General features: G+C 49.2%; 1 protein-coding gene and 1 long non-coding RNA gene across 3 annotated transcripts, besides 3 other annotated features; one reads left to right on the forward strand and one right to left on the reverse strand.

Moving 5' to 3' along the window:
• Positions 1,631–2,355: an enhancer, noted in NCBI's record as "H3K27ac hESC enhancer chr19:9938176-9938900 (GRCh37/hg19 assembly coordinates)". NCBI's record gives its function as "activates a minimal SCP1, AML or CMV promoter by ChIP-STARR-seq in primed H9 embryonic stem cells {active_cell/tissue: H9 hESC(primed)}" and the evidence as "EXISTENCE:reporter gene assay evidence [ECO:0000049][PMID:30033119]".
• Positions 1,766–1,815: an enhancer, noted in NCBI's record as "active region_13935". NCBI's record gives its function as "activates an Ori minimal core promoter by ATAC-STARR-seq in GM12878 lymphoblastoid cells {active_cell/tissue: GM12878}" and the evidence as "EXISTENCE:reporter gene assay evidence [ECO:0000049][PMID:35858748]".
• Positions 1,859–2,165: a silencer, noted in NCBI's record as "fragment chr19:9938404-9938710 (GRCh37/hg19 assembly coordinates)". NCBI's record gives its function as "represses an EF-1alpha promoter that drives an FKBP-Casp9 reporter gene in an ReSE screen in HepG2 liver carcinoma cells {active_cell/tissue: HepG2}" and the evidence as "EXISTENCE:reporter gene assay evidence [ECO:0000049][PMID:32094911]".
• On the forward strand, positions 2,049–4,246 carry UBL5 (ubiquitin like 5). 2 transcript variants are annotated; one of them, NM_024292.4, is made up of 5 exons: positions 2,049–2,195; positions 2,458–2,524; positions 2,723–2,806; positions 2,968–3,005; positions 4,096–4,246. In NM_024292.4, exons 2-5 carry the CDS (start codon positions 2,469–2,471, stop codon positions 4,137–4,139), a joined length of 222 nt encoding a protein of 73 aa, NP_077268.1. In that variant the 5' UTR covers positions 2,049–2,195; positions 2,458–2,468; the 3' UTR covers positions 4,140–4,246. The 2 variants fall into 2 exon arrangements, with proteins under 2 accessions (NP_077268.1, NP_001041706.1); NM_001048241.3 differs by having other exon boundaries at positions 2,049–2,115.
• On the reverse strand, positions 8,210–9,146 carry PIN1-DT (PIN1 divergent transcript). Its single transcript, NR_183873.1, has 2 exons — positions 8,995–9,146; positions 8,210–8,809 (listed from the first exon to the last, which is right to left on the reverse strand). It is a non-coding gene; the product is annotated as a PIN1 divergent transcript (long non-coding RNA).

Here is a 9,148-nt window from a genome sequence, read left to right on the forward strand (position 1 = left end):
AAATCATATTTGGAAAAAAGCACGGATCACAGATTGTTCCTGGGGTTTTGTGTTCCTTTTCTCCCAGGCTTGTCCTTAACCTTGTCTACATAAACCTGTCAATTTATTGAGACCTGTCTCAGATACTTTTTGGTTTACAAATTGTTTGACTGAATTGAGGAAGGACGGTCCTTGTCCCACCAGCCCTCACAAACCTGGAATCTGGTACAAAGTGCTCCCCAAAGATACAGCTGCAGGAGATTGTGCAAATGTGCAATGTTTCCAGTTACCTCGCAGGCATTTAAGGTTGGTGACTGGCAGTGAGAAAGGAGAATAGGGAAAATGAGGCAGAAGAATAGCAAAGGGAATTAAAAGTTGGATAAAGGGTAAAATACGTAAAAGCAGAGAGCAGAAGCAAGGTGAAAGGGCACCCGCCCCTTCTTGCTCACCCAGCAAGAAGCAAGATAAATGGCAGAAGCTGAGGAGACAAAACAAAAGGAAGATTAAAAACTGAGTAAAGGCCGGGCACAGTGGCTCACACCCAACACTTTGGGAGGCTGAGGCAGGCGGATCACGAGGTCAGGAGATCGAGACCATCCTGGCTAACACAGTGAAACCCCGTCTCTACTAAAAATACAAAAAAATTAGCCGAGGGTGGTGGGGGGCGCCTGTAGTCCCTGTTACTCGGGAGGCGGCTGAGGCAGGACAACGGCGTGAACCCGGGAGGCGGAGCTTGCCGTGAGCCCAGATCACGCCACTGCACTCCAGCCTGGGCGACAGAGCGAGACTCCATAAATAAATAAATAAATAAATAAATAAAATTAAAAAAAAAACAGTAAAAATCCCACGGCCGGGGAAATCAGGACCAAACCAGTAAGGAGCAGCTCTTTAGGCATAAGCACGCGCATTAAAGACAAAAAGTATCCTTAACATGATAAGGATAACCAGCTCATTAGCGCTCATGCATATGGACGGCATATCATGAATGGAGGCGGCTCTCAAGCACACAGGGGCCAAAGTAAGCAACACACCTATCATTCAAAAAGGTAGACACTGGCTAGATATTAGGCAGCCTTGGGAAGAGAAAAAAAGCCTGGCCAATAAGGTGAAACCCCATCTCTACTAAAAGTACAAAAATTAGCCGGGCGTGGTGGCGGGCGCCTGTAATCCCAGCTACTTACTCGGGAGGCTGAGGCAGGAGAATCGCTTGAACCCGGAAGGCGGAGGTTGCGGTGAGCCGGCACCGCGCCATTGCACTCCAGCCTGTGCAACAGAGCGAGACTACGTCTCAGAAAAAAAAAAAAAAAAAGACCCAAACTATACCAAGCTGGGGCTGATCTTATCTCGCAGAGGTCAGTCCGCTCTCCCCACTCCGAGAGTGGAATACTGTGCTTAATAAACTTGCAGCTTTGCCATCTCTGTGTGTCTGGTCCAAATCTTTCTTCAGGACACCAAGAGCCTGGAACTGTCCGGCACCATGCGGTAACAGCAGCTGTTGGGCAGCGTAGAGTCTACTCTAGGATCAAGCTTCGCCTACTGACTGGAGTCCGTATCCCGGGGGAACGCGATGGCCAGAGGGAAGAGGTGAGCCAAATGCTCACCAAGCCCAGCCCTGAATGAACCCAGGGGGTCAGAAGGGATGACTGCAGAACTCGTCCCCCACCCCCACCCTCCGCCCTTGCTCCTAGTTGCCGCTGCAAGAGGCTTCGGGCTCAGGATCAGGAGCTTACCCCTACTCCCGGGACCCTCTGGCGTCCCCACCATGTGACCGAGTCTCCCTGCAACAAACAATGACTTCAAACGAGCTGGGCGCCGGCGCCTGACCTCTGACTCTCGCTCCACGCCCCTTCCCTGGCCACAAACCCGCCGAGGCCCCCCTCTCTACCCGGCGCGCCTACCACAGGCGCGACACCTGTCAAGCCTTGGGACACCGAAACCGTACCTGGGAACAGCAAACACACCACAGACTGCAGACCCGGAAGAACTTGTCCCAGTGTTGACCACACCCCCTGGCTAGGGGCAGGGCTTCCGGCCTCGAACTTTAACTTCCGCTTCCGGTTCCTAGCGTTAACTGCGACCGGGGTTCAGCGCTCGGGTGAGGAGCTGGTGGCGTCGGCAGGTTCGAGGCGATTCGAGGTGAGGGGGTCAAGCGGAGAGGCTCGGAGTCGGAGAAAGCTGTCGCGACCCAGCCACCCAGGGTCTGGGGTCGGTGGGAGGTGAGGCCAGGGAGTTTTGTGGCAGGGCTTTCAGGCGGCGAGAAGGGGCGGAGGCGCGGCTCCCCGGGGTTCGCGGCCCTGGGACAGGGGACTTGGGGCCTGGGAGTATTCGAGTCCGGGGGGTTGGGGGCAGAACGGAAGGCTCAGTAACCTGGAATTTTAGGGCCTGGGACTGGGAGACTTGTAGGCTGGGGCTTCTGGGCCTGGGAGACGCCTGAAGCTCTGACTTTGCTGCCTCCCACCCACCCCCCGCTTTGTGTAGCTCCAGCTAGGATGATCGAGGTTGTTTGCAACGACCGTCTGGGGAAGAAGGTCCGCGTTAAATGCAAGTATCCACTGGCAGCCGAGAGGCAGTGGTACCCGCAGGGGTGCTTGGCGTGAGGCAGGCAACTCAATCTGTGTTGTCGGATGGTTTTAGTTAAACCCGGGAGAGGGGGCGGATGGGGTCCTGGCAGATGGTATTCTGCCCTAGAATGTCCTCTTCCTCGTTCTACCGCTTCCATTTGCCTTAACTGCTCTGCGCCCAGCACGGATGATACCATCGGGGACCTTAAGAAGCTGATTGCAGCCCAAACTGGTACCCGTTGGAACAAGATTGTCCTGAAGAAGTGGTGAGTGCAGCGGTAGAGCCACTGGGTGGACTGGACTAGGCCGGAAGGTTTTGGTTGGGGGAGCGCTGCAGGCAGCCCTTTGCTTAGGCTTGGCTACCTCATTTGGCCTACAGACTGAAGAGCCTCCTTAGCCTTATCTCTGAAATGTCTCTTTTTCTTAGGTACACGATTTTTAAGGACCACGTGTCTCTGGGGGACTGTATCCTTTGTGTGACTTTTTGAGGAAGCATCTACATACCCAGCCTCGGTTATCTGTTCAAAACTAAAGTCTGCATGAGCTTATGCATATTAAGTGTTTAACTTAATACGTGGCACATGGTGAGCACTTAGAAAATGGGAGCTAGGTAATTATTTGGTTGGGGAGGAGAGTGGTTGGTGAAATAGTTTGACTTCAAGTTCAAAATATTTATTACTGACCTCCACCTGAGTGCTGGACAGTAGGTCAGGGTGGGGTGAGACTCAGGCATATCTATTGTGCAAAAGGAGCAGAAACTTTTTACAATTTTTATTTTATTTATTTATTTTTTTGAGACAGTCTGGCTCTGTCGCCCAGGCTGGAGTGCAGTGGCACGATCTTGACCCACTGCAACCTCCACCTCCCGGGTTCAAGCAATTCTGCCTCAGCTTCCCAAGTAGCTGGGATTACAGGTGTGTGCCACCACTCCCTGCTAGTTTTTGTATTTTTAGTAGAGATGAGGTTCCACCATGTATGCCAGGCTAGTCTCAAACTCCTGGCCTCAAGTGATCCTCCCGCCTCGGCCTCCCAAAGTGCTGGGATTATAGCCGTGAGCCACTGTGCCTGGCCTAGAAGGAACAGAAACTTTTTTTTTTTTTTTTGAGATGGAGTTTTGCTCTTGTTGCCCAGGCTGGAGTGCAGTGGTACAATCTTGGCTCACTGCAGCCTCTACCTCCCAGGTTTAAGCGATTTTCCTGTCTCAGCCTTCCAAGTAGCTGGGATTACAGGTGCCCACCACCACACCCAGCTAACTTTTTGTATTTTTAGTAGAGACAGGGTTTCATCGTGTTGGCCAGGCTGGTCTCAAACTCCTGACGTCAAGTGAGCCACCTGCTTCGTCCTCTCAAAGTGCTGGGATTACAGGTGTGAGCCACTGCACCCAGCCAGAAATTCTTTTGTAAAGTTTTGGTTCTCTCCAAATAAAAATGGCCTGGTCCAAAATGGGCTTCCTTAGCCCTGGGCTGAGACCTCAGGCCACCTGACCCGGCTGTGAATGGATGAGAGGGGTGGGGACGGAAGTCAGAGTCAGGATTCCTTAACACCTTTCCTTCAGATGAAATCCACGATGGGATGAACCTGGAGCTTTATTATCAATAGATGAGAATCCTCATCTTCCTGCCCCGCTTTCCTCTCCCATCCTCATCCCCCACACTGGGATAGATGCTTGTTTGTAAAAACTCACCTTAATAAAGACTTAGATGTTGCTTTGTTGTTGTCTCTGTATGACAGCTGTCTAGTGATGGGTGGATCAGTCGCTGTTTGGTCATCACTGCACCATCAGCATGCAGCTGCTAAAATAAGAGCTCTGATCAACTGGATCCATGAGGGCAGAGTAGACCAGCAGGCTGGGAGTCTGTGTGGGAGCCCAGAGAGAGCTCTGGGGTTTGCTGTGGGTGTCTGAAGGTCAAGAGACTCTGGGATTATTGTCACCCTAATAAACCAAAGAACCTCCGGCTAATGACAGTAGATGTAATTGTTAGGAATTCAGATTCTGAAATCACACAGACCATGTGTGGAATGTCAGCTCTGCCACCAAGCAGCTGAGTGACACTAGGCAAAATTTTTTAACCTCTGTAAGCCTTTACTTCCTTATCCACTGGAAATAATTGCGTTTACTTCATGTCTGCTTTCAATCGGCATATTGTGAGGAGGTATAAATGAGTTTAAAGCATGTTTAAACATCCACAGTTCCTGGCATTTTTTTTTTTTCTTTTTTTGAGACAGGATCTTGCTCTGTCACCCAGGCTGGAATGCAGTGGTATGTTCATAGCCCACTGCAGCCCTGAACTGGACTCAACACAGTCCTCCTGCATCAGCCTCCCAAGTAGCTGGGCAGTGTGTACCACCACGCCAGCTAATTTTAAAATTATTATTATTATTTATTTTATTTGAGACAGAGTCTCGCTCTGTCACCCAGGCTGGAGTGCAGTGGCACGATCTCAGCTCACTGCAACCTCTGCCTCCTGGGTTCAAGCAATTCTCCTGCCTCACCTGAGGCAGGAGACTGGGACTACAGGCGTGCCCCATGACACCAGTTAATTTTTGTATTTTTAGTAGAGATGGGGTTTCACCATGTTGGCCAGGCTGGTCTCAAACTGCTGACCTCAAGTGGTCCACCCTCCTCGGCCTCCCAAAGTGCTGGGATTACAGGCGTGAGCCACCGCGTCTGGCATTTTGAAATTTTTTGTACAGACAGGGTCTCCCCTATGTTGCCCAAAATAGTCTTGAACTCCTGACCTCAGGTGATCCTCCAGCCTTGGCCTCCCAAAGTACTGAGATTATAGGCACAAGCCATCATGCCTGGCCCTAGCACTTCTTTTCAAGACAAAACGTGATAGTAGACAGTGAGGCAGTGTGGCACTATAAGTGTGGCTACATGATCCCAGCCTCAAGAGTCAGACCGACTAGATTTGAATTTTGATTGATCCTTAGCAGTGGGATTTCAGCCTCTGCGACCCTCAGTTTCATCCTCTAAAAATGAGCACTACAGTGGCACCCACATCTCAATGAGACCACGCAATTAGAATAGCAGGATGCCTGGCACATAATGTTATTTGCTGTATTCTTCCTCTAGGTGTGAGTAGACAGGAGACCAACTGTCCCTCTGTTCCCCTGGCCACAGTTCTTTGTGTCAACCTTGCTCCTGTCCTGTTTTATTTTTTAAATTAAAAAAATTTTTTTTTTGAGATGGAGTTTCACACTTGTTGCCCAGGCTGGAGTGCAATGGCATGATCTCAGCTCACTGTAAACCCCGCCTCCTGGGTTCATGTGATTTTTTTGCCTCAGCCTCCTGAGTAGCTGGAATTACAGGTGCATGCCACCACACCCAGCTAATTTTTTTTAGTAGAGACAGGGTTTCACCATGTTACCCATGATGGTCTTGATTTCCTGACTTCATGATCCGTTCACCTCAGCTTCCCAAATTGCTGGGATTACAGGTGTCAGCCACTGCGCCCGGCCCTGAATTTCTTATTTCTTATACCACTCCTCCCACCAGTGGTGGGCATTAATACATTTGAGTGACTCTAGAAACTTTCTGGAATAACCTAGAGTTTTTATCATACGGGGATAATTATATGTCCCGTAATATTTATATGACATTCCATAGTTTGCTTTTCTGTGCTTTTTTTTAATTATTATTTTTTATTATTATTTTTTGAGATGGAGTTTTGCTCTTTTTGCCCAGGCTAGAGTGCAATGGTGCAATCTCGGCTCACTGCAACCTCTGCCTCCCGGGTTCAAGCGATTCTCCTGCCTCAGCCTCCCAAGTAGCTGGGACTACAGGCACGAGCCACCACACCTGGCTAATTTTTTGTATTTCCAGCAGAGACAAGGTTTCACCATGTTGGCCAGGCTGGTCTCAAACACCTGAGCTCAAGTGATCCGCCCGCCTCAGCCTCCCAAGGTGCTGGGATTATAGGTGTGAGCCGTTGGGCCAGCCATGATTTAGCAATTTTGAAACTACTTTTGTGTGTGTGGGTGTGGGCACATGGGCCCATGTAATACACACAAACAGGGTTGAACAAATAAGTAAACTTGTAGATAATGAGAGCTGGGTGTCTCACTGTGGAGAAGGAAGTTACAAATAAAACAGGAGATGGGAATGCTTAAAATGAACCTTGTAGGACTGGATTTGGAGGCATCAGTCTGAATTCATGGTTTTCGTTTAACAGATATATTGATACATATAGATGTGTGTATACATATGTATATTTCCTTGCTCTATCCACTTAGAGGGACCAGAAACAGTGACACTCCAGGAACAGTGAGCACCCATCCTGGAACATAAAAACACTAGTGGGAAAACAGGATTGGGGGGAATTTGTGGTTTAGTTAATAGTATTATATTGATATTGGTTTCTTAGTGTTGATAATTATATTATAGCAGGGTTTCTAAGCTTTGGCATTGTTGACTTTTTTGGGTTGGATTTTTTTTTTTTTTTTTTTTTTTTGAGACAGGCTGGAGTGCAGTGGCACGATCTTGGCTCACTGAAAGCTCCACTCCAGGGGTTCAAGCAATTCTCCGCCTCAGCCTCCCGAGTAGCTGGGATTACATGCGCCCGCCACCACACCTAATTTTCGTATTTTTAGTAGAGATGGGTTTTCACCATCTTGGCCAGGCTGGTCTTGAACTCCTGACCTCTTGATCCACCCACCTTGGCCTCCCAAAGTGGTGGGATTACAGGCGTGAGCCACCGCACCCAGCCTTTTATTTTTATTTATTTATTTATTTTTTGAGACAGAGTCTCCCTCTGTCACCCAGGCTAGAGTGCTGTGGCAAGATTATGGCTAATTGCAGCCTCTTAACTCCTAGACTCAAGAGATCCTCCCACCTCAGCCTCCCAAGTAGCTGGGATTACAGGCACGTGCCACCACACCCAGTGAATTATTTTTGTAGAGATAGGGTCTTGCCATGTTGCCCAGGCTGGTCCCCAACTCTGGGCTCAAGCGATCCTCCTGCCTTGGGCTCCCAAAGCCCTGGATTACAGGTGTGAGCCACCACACTCAGCCCTTGGATTGGATAATTCTTTTGGTGGGGGCTGTGCCTTGAAGGATGTTAGCAGCATCCTTGGCATCTAATACTAAATGCCAGTAGCCAGTAGTATCTCCTGTTCCAAAATGTCTGAAGGTGTTGTAACAACCAAAAATGTATCAAGATGTTGCCAAATGTCCCTTGGGAAACAAAATCGCTACTGGTTGAGAATTCTGTTCTATTGTTTATTTAAGACGCTAATATTAGGGAAGTTTGGGTGAAGGGTACATGAAAACCCTACTGTTTTTGTAACTGCCCATGTCTAAAATTATCTTTATAAAAAGTATCTTTTTAATATTATGCTAATACTTGTAAAAAATGTTCTATTAAAACTTAAACTTTTTTTGTTTTTTGAGATGGAGTCTCGCTCTGTCACCTACGCTGGAGTGCAGTGGTGCGATCTCGGCTCACTGCAACCTCCGCCTTCCAGGTTCAAGTAATTCTCCTGTCTCAACCACCCGAGTAGCTGGAATTAAAGGTGCCCACTATCACGCCTGGCTAATTTTTGTATTTTTAGTAAAGACAGGGTTTCACCATGTTGGCCAGGCTGGTCTCGAACTCCTGACTTCAGGTTATCCACCCACCTCGGCCTTCCAAAGTGCTGGGATTACAGGTGTGAGCCACCGAGCCTGGCTTGAGTGCTTTATGTGGATTAATTTATTTAATGTTCACATCAAACAGAAGGATGTAATTGCTTATCCCCGCTTTGCAGATTGGGAAACCGAAGTACAGAGTAACGTTAAGTAATCAGTTCAAGGTCGCATAGCAAGTGTCAGTCCCAGGCTTTAAACCCAAGTCTGGCTCCAGACTTCTCTTAGCCTTCTACTGCATCCTGCGTCTAATTTGTTGTGGGCAGGTTTCCCTATGAGTTCACTTCACTGAGCCTCATTCTTTTTAACGGTCACATAGGGTTCTATGCTAGGTGAACTGTAGTTGCACCCTTTGCTGTCAGTGTCTTCAACTCCCATATCTACCCACAGTTCCCCAACTCTGGGTCCCCAAATACCTCCCCTGTGTCCCACGGGCTCTGCAGACTCTATTTTAAGTTGGCTAAAACTGAGCCCATCTCCTCCCACCTGCACCTCCTCCGTGTTCTTATATGAATGTCAATGTCGGCACCCACTGGTCACCCAGGATGGAGGAAGGAGCCAGACTGCGAGGGAATAAAGGAAGTAAGCAGGTTCCAAAGGACGTGGAAGGCCTTTGGGTCCAGAGCCTAGGGAAAAGTTGAGCCCTGCAAAAAATAAAAGAGGCTGGGTTAGCTTTGGACATCTGTGGGAAACAGGTGGGAAGAGGGAGGATGGAGGAGCCAAATTTAAGCATCGGGTACTTAGGTGCTCATCTCCAAGGCAACTGCATTGCTATGGCAACAGCAGAGGCAGCACCGCCCCGCCCAAGTACCTCCTGGACCGCCGTTACCTCTGCACCAGCCAGACTCTTCCGCATGGGAGGGCTGGGGGCTTGCGGACCTCCGGGAACAGCTCAGGCAGGCGGGAGTTGCTGCGGCATTAGCCAATCCATAAGCTCTATCCCGCCTGGGTGGGCTCTGCGGCGACGCGCGCCAAGAAGGGGT

Source organism: Homo sapiens, chromosome 19, assembly GCF_000001405.40.
Source record: "Homo sapiens chromosome 19, GRCh38.p14 Primary Assembly".
NCBI classification, from domain to species: domain Eukaryota; kingdom Metazoa; phylum Chordata; class Mammalia; order Primates; family Hominidae; genus Homo; species Homo sapiens.

Bases quoted from the DNA above. Each gene is read 5' to 3' on its own strand.
- UBL5 (NM_024292.4), top strand. From the start codon at position 2,469: ATGATCGAGGTTGTTTGCAACGACCGTCTGGGGAAGAAGGTCCGCGTT. The intron at 2,807-2,967 runs GTGAGTGCAGCG...TCTTTTTCTTAG, and splicing joins AAGATTGTCCTGAAGAAGTG to GTACACGATTTTTAAGGACC. The intron at 3,006-4,095 runs GTATCCTTTGTG...CCTTTCCTTCAG, and splicing joins CCACGTGTCTCTGGGGGACT to ATGAAATCCACGATGGGATG.